The 20,211-nt window shown below is 42.7% G+C and overlaps 1 protein-coding gene across 5 annotated transcripts in view, besides 2 other annotated features; it reads left to right on the forward strand.

Moving 5' to 3' along the window:
- STOX1 (storkhead box 1) overlaps positions 1 to 20,211 on the forward strand; it is a 67,902-nt gene that overhangs the window by 36,296 nt on the left and 11,395 nt on the right. For all 5 annotated transcript variants that reach the window (NM_001130161.4, NM_152709.5, NM_001130159.3 and 2 more), the window contains exon 2: positions 18,132 to 18,284. In NM_001130161.4, coding sequence (NP_001123633.1) covers positions 18,132 to 18,284 — 153 coding nt within the window. The remainder of the gene's footprint in view (positions 1 to 18,131; positions 18,285 to 20,211) is intronic.
- Positions 12,793 to 12,993: a silencer, noted in NCBI's record as "peak1002 fragment used in MPRA reporter construct". NCBI's record gives its function as "represses an SCP1 promoter by STARR-seq MPRAs in K562 erythroleukemia cells {active_cell/tissue: K562}" and the evidence as "EXISTENCE:reporter gene assay evidence [ECO:0000049][PMID:32103011]".
- Positions 14,377 to 14,948: an enhancer, noted in NCBI's record as "NANOG hESC enhancer chr10:70637959-70638530 (GRCh37/hg19 assembly coordinates)". NCBI's record gives its function as "activates a minimal SCP1, AML or CMV promoter by ChIP-STARR-seq in naive H9 embryonic stem cells {active_cell/tissue: H9 hESC(naive)}" and the evidence as "EXISTENCE:reporter gene assay evidence [ECO:0000049][PMID:30033119]".

Here is a 20,211-nt window from a genome sequence, read left to right on the forward strand (position 1 = left end):
CCTCAATTACAGCTATAAGCTCTGCTTTTTGAGCTGAAGTAATAGGCATATTAAAAGCAGTCAATACCTCTATTACAGCTACAAGTTCTGCTTGTTTTTTTTTTTTTTTTTTCTCTGAGACAAAGTCTCGCTCTCTCACCCAGGCTGGAGTGCAGTGGCGCGATCTCGGCTCACTGCAAGCTCTGCCTGCCAGGTTCATGCCATTCTCCTGCCTCAGCCTCCCAATTAGCTGGGACTATAGGCACCCGCCACCGCACCAGCTAATTTTTTTGTATTTTTAGTAGAGGCGGGGTTTCACCTTGTTAGCCAGGATGATCTCGATCTCCTGACCTCGTGATCCGCCCGCCTCGGCCTCCCAAAGTGTTGGGATTACAGGCGTGAGCCACCGCACCCGGCCAAGTTCTGCTTTTTGAGCTGAAGTATAGGCCGTCCGAAAAACTTTACCTTTTGATCCAGAATAAGAGGCTTTACCATTACTAGACCTATCTGTGAAGACATTCTCAGCACCTTTAATTGAATTTAGTTATTTTAAGGAGAATCCAATTAGTTAATTTCAAAAATTGAAACAGTTTTGTGTTAGGAAAATGGTTATCTAGAATACCCACAAAGTCAGATAAATGGGTTTGCCAAGTAAGACTATTTATAAAAGCTTGCTGTATTTCTGCCTTCGTGAGAGGGACAATAATTTTTCCAGGATCATATCCATGTAATTTAACAATCTGAGTTCTCCCATTTCCTATCATAGTAGCGATTTGATCCAAATAAGGAGTCAAAGTCAGTGAATTAGTATGTGGAAGGAAAATCCACTTCATAAGATCTTGCTCTTGAACAGTAACACCAGTAGGTGAATGATAAGTTGGAAAAATTAGCAAATCTAGAGTCTTCTCTGGATCTGTTTATTTGGGCCTTATGGACTTGCTTTTCAATTAGCTGCAGCTCTGCCTCAGCTTCTTTTGCTAATTGCCAAGGGCTTGTGAGACTAGGATCTCCTCTAAGGATAGAAAACAGATTACTCATGGCATAAGTAGGAATGCCTAGAGCAGGCCGTATGCAATTAATGTCCCCTAGTAATTTTTGAAAGTCATTCAATGTTTTTAATTGATCCTTATGCATGGTTACTTTTGTGGCACTATTGTAGTGTCATTTACTAAGGTCCTCAAGTAGGAGTAAGGAGTAGTAGTCTGAATTTTGCCAGGAGCTATAATTAAACCGGCACAAGAAACCAAATTTTGCAAGTGATCATAATATTGGAGTAATATTTCCCGAGTGGGGGCAGCACAAAGAATATCATCCATATAATGAATAATGTAACACTGTGAAAATCTTTTACGAGTAGGTTCAATTGCTTGCCCTACATACGTCTGGCAAATTGTTGGACTGTTTAACATGCCTTGTGGCAACACTTTCCAATGAAAATGCTTAGCAGGCTGCAGGTTGTTTACCGCAGGAATCGTAAATGCAAACCGTTCACAGTCCTGCTCAGCTAAGGAGATAGTAAAGAAACAGTCTTTTAAATCTGTGACTATTAAAGGCCAGTTTTTGGCCGGGCGCAGTGGCTCACGCCTGTAATCCCAGCACTTTGGGAGGCCGAGGCGTGTGGATCACGAGGTCAGGAGATTGAGACCATCCTGGCTAACATGGTGAAACCCCGTCTCTACTAAAAATACAAAAAATTAGCCAGGCGTGGCAGTGGGCACCTGTAGTCCCAGCTACTCGGGAGGTTGAGGCAGGAGAATGGCATGAACCTGGGAGGTGGAGCTTGCAGTGAGCCGAGATCCTGCCACTGCACTCCAGCCTGGGCGACAGAGTGAGACTCCATCTCGAAACAAAAAAACAAACAAAAGGCCAATTTTTTGGAATCATAGCAGGAGAAGGCAGTCCTGGCTGTAATGCCCCCTAGGTTGTATAACTGAATTAATGGCCCTTAAGTCAGTTAACATTCTACATTTACCTGATTTTTTCTTAATTATGAAAACTGGGGAATTCCAAGGGGATTCCCTTTTGAAGCTGTTCTTTGAGTAATTCATTTAAAGCCTCCAGTTTCTCTTTACTCAGCAGCCACTGTTCTATCCATATTGGCTTGTCTGTCAGCCATTTTAACGGGATAGGATCTGGAGGCTTAACAATGGCCACCATCAAAATGGTATCCTAAACCTTGGTAAGAACTTTGTCTTTCTGCTTGAAGTGGTTCCTTCAAACCTTGCAAATTTTTTCCTAGTCCCATACCAGGGACATACCCCATTTCATGCATCATAGATTGACTTTGAGGGCTGTATAATTGCTCAGGAATTAAAACTTGTGCTCCCTATTGTTGTAATAAATCTCTCCCCCATAAATTTATAGGTTCAGAAGTTATAGTTGGTTGAATAGTCCCAGGTTGTCCATTGGGCCCTTCACAATGCAAAATATAACTACTTTGATATACTTCAGGGGCTTTACCAACTCCAACTATGTTAAATTGAGTGGGTTGAACTGGCCATGTGGATGGCCAGTGCTGTAGAGAAATGATTGAAATGTCTGCTCCTGTATCTACCAAACCTTTAAATTTCTTTCCCTGAATAGTTTTTTCACAGGTAGGATGTTTATCCGTAATTTGATTTACCCAGTAGGCGGTTTTCCCTTGTTTATTTGTACTGCAAAATCCCCCTGTTCTTTTAGTTTCACTTTTTCCTAGTCCCACATACAGTAAAATCAGAAGCTGTGCTATACACTCTCCCAGTTCTGCCTTCCAAGGAACAGAGGTAGATAAAATGATTTGAATTTCCCCATTACAATCCCAGTCAATCACTCCTGTATGAACCTGCACCCCTTTTAAATTTAAACTAGATCTTCCCAGAAGTAGTCCTACCGTTCCTTCTGGCAGGGGTCCGCAGGCTCCTGTTTCTACTTTCTGTGGCGGCTCTCCAGGCACACTCACAGCCCTGGTGCAACACAGTCTACTGCAGCATTACTGGCTGTGGCGGGGGACAAGCATTGTATAGGGGTGAGGGAGTGGCCTGAACTGGGAATGCCCTGGTTTGGAACGGGGCCCAGGACGGGCCTCTCATGGCATTTCCCGAAATCGGGTTTCCGTCTTTATCAAATTTAGAATGACACTGATTGGACCAATGCTTTCCTTGTTTTTTTTTTTTTTTTTCGAGGCAGCCTCTTGCTCTGTCACCCAGGCTGGAGTGCAGTGGCACGATCTCAGTCACTGCAAGCTCCGCCTCCCGGGTTCACGCCATTTTCCAGCCTCAGCCTCCCGAGTAGCTGGGACTACAGGCGCCCGCCACCACGCCCAGCTATTTTTTTTGTATTTTTAGTAGAGACAGGGTTTCACTGTGTTAGCCAGGATGGTCTCAATCTCCTGACCTCGTGATCCGCCCGCCTCAGCCTCCTAAAGTGCTGGGATTACAGGTGTGAGCCACCGTGCCTGGCCCAATGCTTTCCTTTTTTACACTTCAGGCATAGACCTGGTTCATACTGATTGACAGCCTGTTTAAACTCTTCGAGTAATTTAGAGGGAAAAGGCTCAAATGTAGCCATAACATTCCCCTGTTGATCTGGGGGGTATATCCTAACAGGGAACTGCCAAGCCTCTAAATCACCCTCTCTTCTAGCTTTCTGAATTCCTGCCTGAATAGAACTGAGGGTGGTTGCTCAGGGCGCTGTTCTAATAGCCACTGGGGTGACTACTTTTTGCCCAGTGTCCTCTGGAAAAGAAAGATCCAGAGGGTCAGGCCATTATCTTCAAGGTATTGAGGGGGTGCCAAGGGGCAGGGACAAGCTTCCCCTTCTTGGGTCTCTTTAAGTGGTTGACAGATCTGTTCTTTTATCTCTTCCGCAACATTATCACACTCCTCTCCTTCATCTCCTTCCTCCTCATTGTCAGTGTGAAAAGGTTCCAAGGTGGAATGAATCAGAGCCCACACTGACCAGACAGTTACAGGAATATCCTCAGCACTATCCTTATATGCCTTTTTGAGTGCACTGCCTACCTTCTTCCAGACCTCTACATCCATAGTTCCTCAGTTCGGAAACCAGGGACAATATTTCTCTACCGCACTAAAAAGCCGCATAAGGCGGCTAGTGCTAACCTTCACTCCTTTTCTGAGGAGCTGCTGAAGCAGACTCAAATAAGCCTCATGCCTGTTCGACCCTTGTCTTATTTTTACCCTGATGCTTCTAAGCTCCCCTTTTTATTCACCACGGGGATTGCTTAAGAGTACTCGGGTGTCCTCCAGTGTAGTTCCACGTTCTCCAACCGTCGCTCTGGCGACCCTTCGATCCGGGTTCGAGCCCCAAGTTTGGGTGCTGCTTGCTGAGACTAGCTTGGTTGTGGAGATCCCAATCCAGCGGTGCTAGAGGAATAAAGACACAGACAGAGAAATAGAGTGCAAAGTGGGATCGGGGGGCTAACAGCCTTCAGAGCTGAGAGCCTCGAACAGAGTTTGACCCACCTATTTAATGGCAGTAAGCCCGAGATAAACATCGTTTCTGCAGTTTATAGATTAACTAAAACTATTCTTCACAAGAACAAAGGGACAGGCTCTGACTAGTTATCTGCAGCAGGAACATGTCCTTAAGGCACAGATCGCTCATGCCATTGTTTGTGGTTTAGGAACACCTTGAGCGGTTTTCCACCCTGGGTGGGCCAGGTGTTCCTTGCCCTCATTCTGGTAAACCAGCAACCTCCAGCGTGAGCATCATAGCCATCACGAGCATGTCACAGTGCTGCAGAGATCTTGTTTATGGCCAGTCTTGGGGCCTGTTCCTAGCATAATCCCAGCTACTCAGGAGGCTGAGGCAGGAGAATCTCCTGAACCGAGGAGGCAGTTTGCATTCCAGCCTGGGCAACAAGAATGAAACTCCATCTCAAAAAAAGAAAAGTCAGAATTGGCCAAGAAATCCATCCATGTGCCTAACTGGTGCCCTACAGGAGAAACTTGAAGTACTAGTAATGACATGGAACAGGGTCTGATCAAGTTAATATCTTAATTTGGGAAGAAAAGTTAAAAAGCGCTGATATCAGTAGAAGAACTGACACGTGTCAAATCTATTCCAGGCATTTTCAGATTGTTTTCCCACAGTAACCTTTTAGCCAGATACTATTATTCATCTTGAAGAGCTGAGGTCACTAATTAATACTCAAAGAGGGTACACTGACAGTAAGTGGAAGTAGAGAATGTGAGCCCAGGTCTACCTGACCAACTCCACTATTCCTTTATTTATCCCGTGCTGCCTTAGTGGCCCAAGGCCCTATGAGGAACAGTCTGGCTCTTCTTCCTCGTGATGGTCCTGGCCCAGGCAGCCACAGACTTCCGGGAATAGCATTCAGGCTTGGGACCCAGGAATACTGAGTCCTAGTCCTACCAATTATGGCCTCATGATAGGTTAAGATTGTCTTAACCAACTGCTGCTCTTCCATGACAGTCAAAGCCCATTGAGTGTGAGGACTGTATCCTGTTTGCTCTTGTAACCTTTGTAACTGGTATATAGTAGATAATAAATATATGCTGGATAAGGAATGATTGAGGGACTGTGCTGTTATAATATCAATTTACTCTGAGTGTCTGATGCTAAACAATGGTAGCCATTCGTTAAATGTTTATTAAATAGTACATATGAAGAAGGAGAATATATTTCCAGCTGATGGGATCAGAAAACTATCCATGATAGAGTCACTGAGCATTTTAGTTAGTCTTAAATGACAGGATTTTGAAACGCTGAGGTATGGGGAAGAGTGCTGTAGGTGGGGGATACAGGGACAAAGGGACAGGATATGGACAGATACTGACTATTCAGGGAGAGGCCAATCTGAATGGAGGGAAGTCACAGCTGAAGGTACAGTACTTAGCTGAAGGGTAGTACAGTACTTAGGAAAAAGGAGTTTGCTGTCAAATATGATCAGGGAACATTGGGTTAAATAAACTAGGTAGTTGTTTGTTATAGAAGTTTTCAGAGCCTTTCACAATACCACTGTGGCTCCAAGCAGCATTTCTCAAACATTTGGCATGGGGACCCTTTTTCTTGTAGAGAGCATTTCATGGAATGAATGTTCCACAGAACTCTTTTTGCGAAATGCTGATCTAGTTCAGTTCCCTGTGTATGGGCAAGGGAACTGAGACCCAAAGAAGAGAGGCGACTTACTCAGGGTCACAGAGCAGAATCTGGATTAGAACCCCAATACCCTGATCAGATTGCTTGGCCCCCAGTATAGGACTTGTTTGTAATGTGAGGATCATGAAAATAGAAAGGACAGCTTTAAAAAAAAATCTAGGGAAACTTTAATTTTTTATTCAAACAACCACCTTTGTGCTGGACTTTTAAATTTTTATTTATTTTATTTTTTTCTTTCTCTCCTAACTTCCTAAACTTGTTAAGTTCTGGGCTTTTTACCCCCGTTTTGTACAGTGGTATTTTCTGTTAATCACCATGACTAGACCTGTTAGTCACTGTCATTGCCTTTGTGGCCTCCAGAATCTTGGGAAGAAGAGGCACCATAATCTGTTCCAGGTTTCCTGGAGGTCAAAAAAAGGATGTTCTCCTGCATGACTACTTTTAGGGACATATAGGTACTACAGCAGTTTACAACCTGTGCCTCTCTTGCTATTTATATAGCTATTCCTTGCCCCCAACGCTTGTAACTGGTGTGGTAGGTAGAATGGTTCACCAAAGATGCCCATGTCCTAATACCTGGAACCTGTGAATATGTTACCTTACATGGCTAAAGAGACTTTTCAGGTGTAATTAGGTTATGGACATTAAATTAGGGAGATTATTCTAGATTATCTGGGTGGATCCTGTCTAATCACAGGTACTCTTAAAAGCAGATAAATTTTCTCTGGCAAGAAGCAGAAGCAATGCAATGGAAGTGCACGTCAGAGAGTGTGGGCAGATTTAATTCTGTGTTTGAAGATGAAGGGGACAACATGACAGGAAATAGAGGTGACTGAGAGAGGCTCCCATCTGACAGTCATCAAGGAAATAGTGACTGCCGTCCTCAGTCCTACAACCATAAGGAACTGATATCTGCCAAAAACCTAAATGAGAGTGAAAACATTCTACCCCCAGAGTCTCCTGATAAAGCCTAGGCTGGCCAGCACTTTGGTTTTGGCTCTGACACCCAGAGCTTCTGACCTATAGACTGTGAGATAATAAATTTGTGTTGTTTTAAGCCACTAAGTTTGCTGTAATTGATTTTGACAGCCATTGAAAACTAACACGACTGAATAAAGTCATGAACATATCCAGGGTGGAAGCCTTGAAGGGAAAGAGTGTAGGAAAGGGCACTTCAGAGCCTAAGGGTTTTGGGCCAAATGTGGATTCGTTTTAGTATTATTCAAAAGCCAGCTGGTTTGAGTCATTCAGCTGGTTTGAGTCGGTCATTCCTGACTGAGGCTCCTTGTATCTCTATCCGCAGTGAGGGTGGTGGCCATGGGGGAAGGGAGCTAGAGGCTCAAAGGGCACCCCCGGGTGGGGCCACCTGTCTTCTTGGTGTATCAGTGTGCTGACAACCAAATTGTGGGGTCTGTTCCAGGCCCTCTGAGACCCAACTGATAGTCAATATTAGTGAATATATCACCCGAAAAGGAGGCCACTAACTAAATTCTGGCAGGTTGAAGTGTGATAAGTAAAGAAGACATTACTAAGGACTCCTGCTGTTGAACAGCTCATCTTCCCAAGGGAAGCCTTTAGCTTTCCAGCAGAGGGTATTTCCCAGAAGGGAGCCATTTGTCTAGGAGTTAAAAATAAACATTACCATGCTTGAGAAAGAATTCCAGCTTCCATGGCAGATAACCCGATTACCCTTAGATCTGCAGCCAGCTTCTGTCTTGGTACTCTTTTGTTTCTGAATGTGGAGGAAAGTTTTTGCATTCTTTTACTTTACTAAAATAAAAGGGAGATGTGGAGAGGGGCTTGGTTTACTGGCCTGGAACCTTTCTTCTTATTGTTTCCATTTCATTTGATTTTCTGAACCTATTTGAAGTTGTAACACAATAGATCTAATTGTTTAAAGCCATCAAAGATTTGCACAGCATCTTATCTTTAATGAGGGGCATGTTGTTACAAATGCTTCAATTTTTCAAAGTTCAGGATTAATTTTAATGTTAAAAACATTTGGTGGAAATTCTGTACTGGATAAAAGAGCAGTTTAAAATCACGAAAGCTTCTTGGATTACTTTGAACAAAACATCCTTTTTTTTTAAATTAAACTTGAGTGTACCTGCAGGCTGTTTTATTTGCACGCTGTTGTCATCCCTAATGCGCATAGAAGATACCTTTCCCACAGTGTGATTCAATACAGGCGCCCAGAAAGATGGTCTCAGATTTCATGTGTCTGGGTAATTAGTTGAGTTAGAGCAGCTCTGTTAAACCACTTGAAGGTCAATAATGCATGAATTTCTGGCAGACTTCCTAGCTCTGAGTCCATAAACACACTTGCATAGGGACTAAATGTTCTTATAGTAGAGAAAAACTCGTGTTCTAAATATAAAATAAGTAATGCTAGGGATTAGTTTTTTCTTTTTCTTTTCTTTTTTTTTTTTTTTTTTTTGAGACAGAGTTTCGCTTTTGTCATCCAGGCTGGAGTGCAATGGCACAGTCTCGGCTCACCGCAACCTCCACCTCCTGGGTTCAAGTGATTCTCCTGCTTCAGCCTCCAGTGTGGCTGGGATCACAGGCACCCACCACCACGCCCAGCTAATTTTTGTAATTTTTAGTAGAGACGAGGTTTCACCATGTTGGCCAGGCTGGTCTCGAACTCCTGACCTCAGGTGATTGGCCCACCTTGGCCTCCCAAAGTGTTGGGATTACAGGCGTGAGCCACTGCACCAGGTCTAGGATTCATTTTTTTCTAGAATTTAATTCTATGACAAATTCATGTTTTATTATGACACAAAAATGTTAGGATGTGGGTGCTTTTTGAATTCTGAAAGAAAATCTTTCCTCTGTCTTGCAGATTAGTAGCACAGTCTTTCATGGGCCTTAAAATCAGATTCAAGCATCCTGATTTAAAATGTTAGAATTTAAATTCCAAGAGCAGACCCTCTTGGAATTGGTTTTGGTCTTTTAAAAGCATAAGATTAATGTAAAATAAGCGTAATTGTTCTTTTTTTTTTTCCCCTTAACGGTACAGTTTTTATTAAAACTTTAATTTTGTCCCTGAGGTTTTACTGGAGTGCTCAGATATCAAAATAAACACTTTTTTTTTCTTTTTTAGAGACAAGGTCTTGCTCTGTCACCCAGGCTTCAGTGCAGTGCCATCATCATAGATCACTGCAGCCTTGAACTCCTAGGCTCAAGCAATCCTCCAAGCCTTGCCTGCCAAAATGTTGGGGTTGCAGGCATCAGCCACTGTGCCCAGCCACATTCAGATTTGATAAGGATTCTTTTACTTCTGAGACGGAGCAGGGACCCTCTTTTTAGGGGCCTGTGCCCAAACAAGAGCATTTTTTTTTTTTTTTTTTTTTGAGACGGAGTCTCGCTCTGTCACCCAGGCTGGAATGCAGTGGTGCCATCTTGGCTCACTGCAAGCTCCGCCTCCCGGGTTCACGCCATTCTCCTGCCTCAGCCTCCTGAGTAGCTGGGACTCCAGGCGGCCGCCACCACGCCCAGCTAATTTTTTTGTATTTTTAGTAGAGATGGGGTTTCACCGTGTTAGCCAGGATGATCTCGATCTCCTGACCTCGTGATCCACCCGCCTCAGCCTCCCAAAGTGTTGGGATTACAAGCGTGAGCCACCGCGCCTGGCCTTTTTTTTTTTTTTTTTTAATCCTGAGTTTTAGAAAAATTTCAGATAGCTAGCTAGTCCTTTTTTTTTCTTCTTCTTCTTCTTTTTTTTTCTTTTTTTTTTTTTTCTTTTTTTTGAGACGGAGTCTCGCTTTGTCGCCCAGGCTGGAGTGCAGTGGTGCGATCTCCTGCAAACTCCACCTCCCGGGTTCAAGCAATTCTCCTGCCTCAGCCTCTTTAGTAGCTGGGATTACAGGCGCCCGCCACCATGCCCAGCTAATTTTTGTATTTTTAGTAGAGACTGGGTTTCACCATGTTGGTCAGGCTGGTCTCGAACCCCTGACCTCGTGATCCACCCGCCTCGGCCTCTCAAAGTGCTGGGATTACAGGCGTGAGCCACTGCACCCAGCGTTTTTGTTTGTTTTTTGTTTTTTTTAATCCTGAGTTTAAGAAAAATTGCAGATAGCTAGGTAGCCTTTTTTTTTTTTTTTTTTTTTTTGCTTAAATCCACCTTGGGAAAGTTACCATCTTGTCTTTTTTCTTTTGCTACCTAGTCCTAAAAAGTAAGTAACTTATTAAAAAGGCAGTAACCTAAAACAATAGCCAAAAAAGTTAGAATCCAGAGGTGTTTGGTTTCCCTATAAAAACTAAAGATAACATCTTAACGTATGTCCCTGAGTTGTCTTTCAGAAACTTGGACCCCTACTCTGAAGACCCTCACCCAACAGATTCACTGGCACATAAACCTCAGATAAGAAAAAATTAAGTACAAAACCCTGACCTGCGTTCTTTGTTCTAAATTTCTTCCTAGTGGACTTGGAGGGAGTCATACCCCTGAGCCAGTTACTGACCCCAGACTTTTAAACAAAGCTTCTCTTCCTTAACCAATTAAAATAGAAAATCTTTAAATGTACCTACGATCTGTAAGCCCCTTCAAGATATCCTGCCCTTTTAAGCCAAAACCAATGTATAACCTCCATATATTAATTTATAATTTTGCTTGTAACTTCTACTCTCCTTCCCCTGCCTTTAAAAACCCTTGCTTCCCGGGAGGCGGAGCTTGCAGTGAGTCGAGATCCCGCCACTGCACTCCAGCCTGGGCGACAGAGCGAGACTCCGTCTCAAAAAAAAAAAAAAAAAAAAAAAAACCCTTGCTTACAAGACACTGGGAGGTCAGGATTTAAACAATGGCTGCCTGGTCCTCCTTCCTTGGCACCCTACAAATAAATGCCTTCTCTTCTATAGCTGTAAGAAGCCTTGATGTAGATACCTGGATTTACTGTGCCAGGCGAGCAGACCCCAGTTCAGTTAACCCTCCAAGGGTGTTGTGAGTGGACAAGGCAAACACAGAATTGGGCCAGGTGGATTGTAATGATTTTGTAATGATTCTCATTGTGGTGTGAGTATTCACACCTCCTGAAATGGCCGGGAAATGGATTTTTTTAGTCACTTGGTGACCCAGGGTCACAGGCTTTCTTTGTGTCTGGCTGGGTTTCCACTAAAATGCTTATGATACCAAAGCTCACCTTCAACTAATTTTTAGTTACCTTCAAGATGTGGAGTGAATGTACTATTTGAAGCCTGGCATTGTTGCCCTGTGTCAGACCTTCTCTCAGGGCGCAGGTCTTGTCAAGGTCCACATCCCTCGGCTTGTGATCCTCACGCCCCCCAACCTGGGGGAAAATCACTTCACTGGGTAGGCCCATGTGCTGACGCCAACTCTCCCTCTTACAAGAGTGCAAAGTTTAGGCTTATTTTCATTTTGCTAATGTTTCCCAGTGATCATCTGTAACTGGAAGATTTTAGGAGTCCACAGGGCCCCTGGTTGAAGATCTTTCCAGTACCACAGTTCTTGGGAGTGTTCACTGGCTCCACTACAGCTACCCTGCTGGGTCTGGCAGGAAGGCAATCTTGAGATGTTTCTATTTGTCATGGGTGCACCTCTTGATATTCTACATTGGGGTATGAGTATTCACACCTCCTGAATTGGCCAGGAAGTGGCTCTTTGAGCCCCTTGTTTTTCTGATAGAAAACAGCCAGGATAGGATATTCTAGAGGCCTTCTTCTTCAGGCTTATGGAAGGGGCCTTTGTGTCCTTACATAAAGAAACCACTTCTTTTTCCTCAGAACTTTGATGAGGTCTTGGGTTGCACTGGAACAATATTGTTGAGCTATTGTCACCAACTCCAAGAGCAAGTCACACTTTCCCAGGGGCCTGCTCCTATTGGCCAGGGGCTTTCTAGGCCACTGTCATTAGGCACCAGGGAGCAGAGACTGATTGCTTGGGGTTGTATGAATCCACGTCCATCCTACAGGAGGCTGATTCTAACATTGTCTGCTACAAGGGCCTGCTCTAGACTTCACTGGATGAAAAGCTTTTGATAGTGAAGAGCTCAGTATTTTCATTTGTGAATTGGGCATCCACATGCTACATTTAATTTGCTTTGCACTTTTTTTCCTCAAATGAGTGGACTTGTAAAAGAATAATTTTTAAACTCCTCATACTTTGCTTTTATCATTACTTTTGACTTTTTTTTTTTGTGGCGGTGAGGAGTGGGGGTTGCTTTCTGGTCTTTACCAGAATATATATATATATATATATATATATATATATATATATTCTGAATATGTATATTTGAAATAGAGTTTTACTCTTGTTGCCCAGGCTGTAGTGCAATGGCGCGATCTCGGCTCACCGCAACCTCTGCCTTCCGGGTTCAAATGATTCTCCTGCCTAAGCCTCCTGAGTAGCTGGGATTCAGACATGCGCCACCACACCCAGCTAATTTTGTATTTTTAGTAGAGACGGGGTTTCTCCACGTTGGTCAGGCTGGTCTCGAACTCCCGACCTCAGGTGATCCGCCCCCCTCAGCCTCTCAAAGTGCTGGGATTACAGGCATGAGCCACCACACCTGGCCAACAAAAAAATTTTATTCAGCAACTAAATCCTTTCGTAGTACAGCAAAGAATCAGTAAATTAACAACAACAAACCTTTTCAGAAAGTGTAGCAGGCACAAATAACCTCAGCTCTATGGTTCTACTTTGTTGTTATTTTTTGTGAAACCAGTCTTTCAGCCTAAACACTTTTTTCATTTCTGAGGCACCAAAGAGCACAAGACTGTGTAAACAGAGAACGCTGTTGTCAACTGTTTATGCTCTGGCTCAAAGTCTCTCCTTAGCCTTCTGAGCCCCGCTAAGCTCAAGGGTCAAAAGTCCACAGCTGGCCTCGACTGAAGAGTGCTCTTCAGTTTACTCCCTCATAGTTGAGGACAGACCCAAAGGTCTGGCCTTCTCTTATTGTGGAATCTGGTTACATCTATAAGTGGGATCTTCTGCATAGAAAGTTAATTTTTGGTGAAAAACTCTAAGAGATGCATTCCAAAAAGCAAAGGAGTGCAAAAGTCACTGAAACAGACCATAACTGAAGCTCGAAAATGATCCCCATGTCTGTCATAAGTGTTCCCGTGTCAGGGTGCACTCAGCTTTCCTGCACAAAGGAAACTCGATGATTTGTGCACCTGAAGGATGTATCTTAGCAACGACTGTGAAGGAACTGTACTGAGAAACTTTCTCTAGGCTTTGTCTAGAGGAGCTCCACAGCAGAGGCGAATAGCAATTAACGGTGTCCTCTAAAGTGAAGTTTACATTTAGTTGTATTAATTTTAAGGGGGGAAAAAAGGCAATTAGTCTTCCTAGTTGATAGTAGATTTGTTCACTCTTTTAAAATACCCATCCCCATGTCATAGTAGGAATTATGAATAAATTTTTTAAGAGTATCTTTGGATTTGGCAAACAGTGTTAGGGTTGTTTTAAAAAGGTGGGGTTTGAAAAATGTAAGAAAAAAGTTGTGTTTCATACATTTCTCCTTGGTAATTAAAAGTAGTGCTTTTTGAAAAATCAAGTTTTTGCTCTTATTTTGAAGTAATTATAGATTCACAGGAGGTTGCAAACAAAGATACAGGAAGCCCTTTGCACCTCTCTCCCAGCCCCATGAAAATCTATCTTGACTATTAGTTTTCTTATGAAAAGAGGAAACAAACCTAAGGATTGAACTAGAAAATGGGCTGCTTCAGTTCTAGCCCAAAGGCATAGTGGAGACAGCCCTACTATGTTTTCCAGTGCACAGAAATGGGCAGCCACCTGCAGGCGGACACAGCAGGGACACCAGATGACATGCTGATTTTCTCTCTTTCAGTGTTCTCCCCCACCCCACCTCCAAGTTCACAGTGCCTGGTTTTAAGAAAAGGTGAAGTGAGGCTCAAATGGGTATTATGTGGCTAAGGAAAGCCTTCAGGCTTTGCCCTCTATATCTAGCCCTTGTCTTTCAAGGAAGGGAAACTTTTCCCCCCTCTTTTAAAATTAAGGGCCTCTAATCCTCTAGGTTTTATGGCTGGATTTGGAGAAAGGGGGTTCTGGTTTCTATGACCTGCCTTGGGGAAGAAGGATTCTTGTTTCTATGGCTGTCCTTAGAAACAAGATAGGAGGATAGGAAAAGGCCAGAAAAAACCTCTTGCTTCTGAGGCCTTCATTATGGAGTATTACTTTCTGAGTTCCAAGTGCAGTGGGGATGGGTAATCAATTCAAGATCACAGGAAAAGATGTTTTTAGGGAGGTAGGGAAGAGAGATATAAAAGCTTAAAGCCACTTATTTTAACTAAGCACATACAGTTATATCAAAGAAGCATAAAAATATTTAAAATTGTACTTTAATTTCACATTTTGTCTGGTTGAGTGGGGAGATGAAAGCCAAGAAAGTAAAACTCAGATGAGGAAGGAAAAAAGAAAAGAGGGAGTGAGGATAGAGGCTTGTTACCCTCAGTTCAGAAGTTGAGTTTCAAGGAGGATTTTGAGTTTTAGGTAAATTAATGCCCCGCTTGGACAGATTTTCAGGACATCATCTATCGCCACTCTTTGAAATGCTAATTAATTGATTAGCCATTCATCCTAGCTTTTCAGAGTGGTATAGGCCTCTGAGAATCACCCAGTGGGATAGCCACAGCCACACCTAGAGGAGATCATTCCCAGGCTGCAGAAGCAGACAGCAATTCTACCTTGTGATGTGACCTTCCAAGGCCAGATAGAGAAGCTTAAGCAAACAAGGGAACAATGGAAAGTATAACAGCAAACTGCTTATGATTTCCTTGTTGAAGTCCTTTATCTTCATGCAGATACAATAAGAATACAGTACTGGCCACTTACCAGCTCTGGGCTTCAACCCTTCACACCTGGCCCCTCAACAACCAGTACAATGTACTGCTTTCTCTACTGTCACTGGGAGAGTTTAACTGCAGAGCATAATCAAGCTTTCTTAATTCTTTAGCTTCCTTCTGGCTATACTTGACTCCCCATTCAGCCCCAGGATCATGTTTGTTAAATGGTTAGCTACTTTAACATTGCTGTCATTAACACCCTAACCCTCTACCAGTCCAAAGAGTAGTACTCAGACCTGCAGTGTGAACATCTCTGGGAGGTTGTTAGAAGTGCAGGATCAGGGGCTCTGAATCAGAATCCACGTTAGCAAGATCTACTGGTGATCCTCATATGCACATTAAAGTTTTAGAGGCATGGGCTGGCCTCCCCCAGCTCTCACCCTTTTCCATTACAAAATGCCACCCCTCTGCCAAAAACTATGCATAAATCACCTGGACTTAGGGCTCCTTCACAATCTTCTTACTCATTTTTTATTTCCTAGTACTTTGAGAATAGCTCCTCAAACCCCCTTTCCACCCGCCATCCTCTCATTCCCATTTTTCCCTCCTCTCATTTCTATTTTCTTTCTAACTTGACAGAAGTCAGATGACTTTGCTGTGCTAATATTTTTTTTCCTTCTCTGCCTCAATATATTTGTGGTCTTCTGCCACCCTCTGTATTATTTTCTCAAGTCTCAGATAGAGTAGCATCTTCCTCATTTGTAAGCTAGCCTCTCTACTTACGCCCTTGATACACTTTCCCTTTCCCCTTCTTTGGGATCTTGCTATCTTACTGATCTCCCCTCTCCCAGAATCATGTCCACCATCTCCACTAAGCCCTTCCTTTTTGCATCCAAAGGGACACAGATCTTATTTTAAGAAAACCACAGCATCCAGTCATATTCACTGGATCCTACTCCTTTCTGGTTTATGATCTATTTCTCCTTATTCACCATCAGATTTTGCATACAAATGGTCTAGAGCAGTGGTTTCCAACTGGGATGACTTAGCCATCGAGAGGACATTTGGAAGTGTCTGGAGACATTTTTGGTTGCTGCAACTGTGGGAAATGCTACTGGCATCTAGTGGGTAGAGGCCATAATGCTATTAAATATCCTACAATGCACAGGGCAGCCTCCCACCGCAAAATTATCTGGCTAGGGTGGCTACTTATCCCAGTTTGCCAGTAACTTTCCTGGCTATAGGCTTATAGCACTGAATGTCCTGTGTCCCAGGAAGCACCTCAGTCCTGGGCATACTGGGACCATTGTTCATCCTATATATATCTCACCCCAAATGTCAAAAGTGCCAAAGTTGAGAAACGCTGCTCTACAAGGAACACCCATTAACTTTACATTTTTCTCACCAACTTCCTTTCCTTCAATTGGAACTTTAATTTCTGTCTTCTTTTCTACTGAAATAGTTTTCTTTCTTTCCTTTTTTTTTTTTTTTTTTGTTTTTGTTTTGTTTTCTTAGAGACAGGGTCTCACCCTCACCTACGCAGGAGTGCAATGGTGCAGTCATAGCTCATTTCAGCCTCTAACTCCTGGGCTCAAGTAATCCTCGCACCTTAGCCCCCTAGCAGCTACGACAGGCACACCACCATCCTGGCTAATTTTTAAAATTTTTATCTTTGTAGAGATTGGATCTCGCTATGTTGCTCAGGCTGATCTGGAATTCCTGGCCTCAAGTGATCTCCCTAAAGTGTTGGGATTATGGGTGTGAGCCACTGTGGCCAGGCTGAAATTGTTTTCTTAAAAGTCACCAGTGGCACCTTCCAATCAATAAATCCAATGGCTTTTCTCCTTCCTCAACCCTTTGGATTTCCTTCTAAGCATTTGATACTGTTGACCACTATTTTTTTGAAGCCCTTTTTTTTTTCATACTTTTGGTATGTGCCAAGAGGTATGTGCTCTTTTGTGGGTTCCTAATTCCTACTGTTTTTTGTTTTTTGTTTTTTTTGAGATGGAGTCTCAGTCTGTCTAGGCTTTGCCTAGGCTCACTCACTAGGCTGGAGTGCAGTGGCGCCATCTCGGCTCACTGCAACCTCCACCTCCTGGGTTTTAAGCAATTCTCCTGCCTCAGCCTCCTGAGTAGCTGGGATTACAGGAGCCCGCCACCGTGTCCGGCTAATTTTTGTATTTTTAGTAGAGATGGGGTTTTACCATGTTGGCCAGGCTGGTCTCAAACTCCTGACCTCGGGTGATCCGCCCACCTCGGCCTCCCAAAATACTGGGATTACAGTCCTGAGCCACCACATCTGGTCCCTACTCTGTCTTAAATGTAGATTGTTTCTTAGTTTGATGTTTCTTGGTGCTTTTCTTTATTCTCCTATTAAATAATTTATTCCACTCTAGCTTCAGATCTCATCTCTATTAGTTGATTCCCAGATCTCTTTCCTGAGTCTTAGTCTTTCATTTCCAATTGATTGAGGGGTTTCCATGGATATCCAGCAGAATCCAATACTCAACCTGAGTAATGGCAGGTTAAGAAGAACATTTAATAGACTGGCTAGGAGGAAAGACAATATAGTCTAGCTTACATTTCCAGCCTTGTCTTCCACTTTGGTCCTGTATTAAGCCTTAAGTTCTATTGAACCAGGATAACTCTATCCATGCCCTTAAATGTGCTTTCCATGGTTTTGCTTCATGTCTTCTTGCTCATTGGAAAACACTTCTGCCTTTCTTCAAATCTTCCTGATCATCCCAATCAGGAAAATGTGGAATGGTGAAAATACTGGATCAGGAGTCAGAAGACCTATTTCTGTCACTTTACTTGCTTTTAGACTTGGGACCATTACTTGAGTTTTCTATAACTTTATATATTTTAAGTAAAGAAATAATCCTGTGTCTGCCTTTCTCAAGATAGCTAATATGAAAAAATAGTTTGAAAGATGGTAAACTGCTGGTATATAGTATATTTAGTATTTAAGTATTGCATGACCTCCTGAACTCTGATAATACTTTGAGCCTTTCTAATGGAATCTTGCCATCTCTTACTTGTAGAGACAGTTAATACACATTTCTTAAAAGTAGAGACCACAATGTAAATCTTTTTCTTGCATAGTTTCTGTCATTGTACATGTCATGTTAACAGATTCTGAGTAAAGACTGATGAAAGAATTGCAATTCTACCTATTAGTCTTTATTTTTGTTTCACTAATTCCAAACATTTTATACTATATCAAATTTATCAACCCCCTCCCCCTTTTTTTTAAATCTCCAATTTAGGTGATGTCTTTCCAGTGCAAATGAATCCAATAACTCAATCTCAGTTCGTACCTTTGGGTGAAGTTCTTTGCTGTGCTATATCTGATATGAATACAGCTCAGATTGTAGTAACGCAGGAATCACTTTTGGAGCGTTTGATGAAACATTACCCAGGTAGAGTAATAAATTTTTGTCTATTTGTACTTCACTGTATGTGTTTGGTTTCTATTTATAATTAGTCTTAAGCACATAAACTGGGTGATATCCTTTTTTCCCCTCTTCTATAGAACTTTATATCAGAACCCTGCCAGAAGAAGTCCTGCATCAACAAATTTGATAAGGGTATTTCTTTTACTTTTCAGATAAACTTTTCCAAAAATAAATGCTTATGGCAATAAATAAATAAATAAATCACACTCTGTGGAAAGGAGTGCAAAATGAGAAAGTAAAGTTTATTTCCCCTCATCTCCTATTTTTTCATTCTCACTTCCCAGAGGTAATAACTGCTATTATCATTTCTTATATATGATAATATAATAAATTTTTCATAACATAAATTGGATCTTTTTTTTTTTTTTTGAGACAGAATCTTGCTCTGTCACCCAGGCTAGAGTGCAGTGGCACCATCTCGGCTCACTGCAACTTCCGCCTCCCCGGGTTCAAGCGATTCTTCTGCCTCAGCCTCCTCAGTAGCTGGGATTACAGGCGCCTGCCAGCATGCCCAGATAATTTTTGTATTTTTAGTAGAGATGGGGTTTCACCATGTTGGTTAGGCTGGTCTCGAACTCCTGACCTCATGATCCACCCGCCTTGGCCCCCCGAAGTGTTGGGATTACAGGCAAGGGCCACCATGCCCGGCATAAATTGGATCATTCTATACATTCCCTCAACACGTTTCTCTTATTAACTTAAAAACACATCTCGGAGATCTTTCCATGCTAACATATATTGATATGTCTCATTCTTTATTTTACTTGAGACAAGGCCTCACTCTGTTGCCCAGGTTAGAGTGCAGAGGCACCTTCTTAGATCACTGCAGCCTCAAACTCGTGGGTTGAAGCAATCCACCTGCCTCAGCCTCCCAAGTAGCTGGGACCACAGGTGCGCACCACTCATTCTTTTATTTATTTATTTTCTTCCTTTTCAAGAATGGCATCTGGGCCGGGTGTGGTGGCTCACGCCTGTAATCCCAGCACTTTGGGAGGCCAAGGTGGGCGGATCACGAGGTCAAGAGATTGACAACATCCTGGCCAATATGGTGAAACCCCATCTCTACTAAAAACTACAAAAAAAAAAAAAAAAAATTAGGCACGGTGGCAGGTGCCTGTAATCCTAGCTACTAAATAAACGAATGTTTTCCTCAGTCACAGTTTAAATTTATAATGGGTTTTTATTTGAGTGAATTCAGATTTTTTTTGTCTATTTACTCATTAACCTACCCATATGACTTTGTGTGGACCAAATTATTTTCCTGTTATTTTTATTTTTATTTTTGAGACAGGGTCTCACTCTGTTGCCCAAGTTGGAGTGCAGTGGTGCAATTACAGCTCATTGCAACCTCTGCCTCCAAGGGTTCAAGCAATCCTCCCACCTCAGCCTCCAAAGCATCTGGTACTACAGACACCCGCCACCATGCCCTGCTAATTTTTGTATTTCTAGTAGAGGAATGATTTCACCATGTTGCCCAGCCTGGTCTTGAACTCCTGAGTTAAAGCGATCTGCCTGTCTCAGCCTCCCAAAGTGCTGGGATTACAGGTGTGAGCCACCATGCCTGGCCTATTCCTATTATTTAAGTTATAAATATTATTTATGCTTCTTTGGCTTTTTTTTTTTTTTTTTTTTTTTGAGACAGGGTCTTGGTTTGTTGCCCAGGCTGGAGTACAGTGGCACAATCATAGCTCACTGCAGCCTTGAACTCCTGAGCTCAAATGATCCTTCCACACCTGGCTAATGTTTAAAAATTTTTTTGTAGAGATGAAGTCTTGCTATGTTGCCTAGCCTGGTCTTGAACTCCTGGGCTCAAATGATCCTTCCACACCTGGCTAATGTTTAAAAATTTTTCTGTAGAGACGAAGTCTTGCTATGTTGCCTAGCCTGGTCT

Source organism: Homo sapiens, chromosome 10 (genome assembly GCF_000001405.40).
Source record: "Homo sapiens chromosome 10, GRCh38.p14 Primary Assembly".
In the NCBI taxonomy this organism is placed as follows: Eukaryota; Metazoa; Chordata; class Mammalia; order Primates; family Hominidae; genus Homo; species Homo sapiens.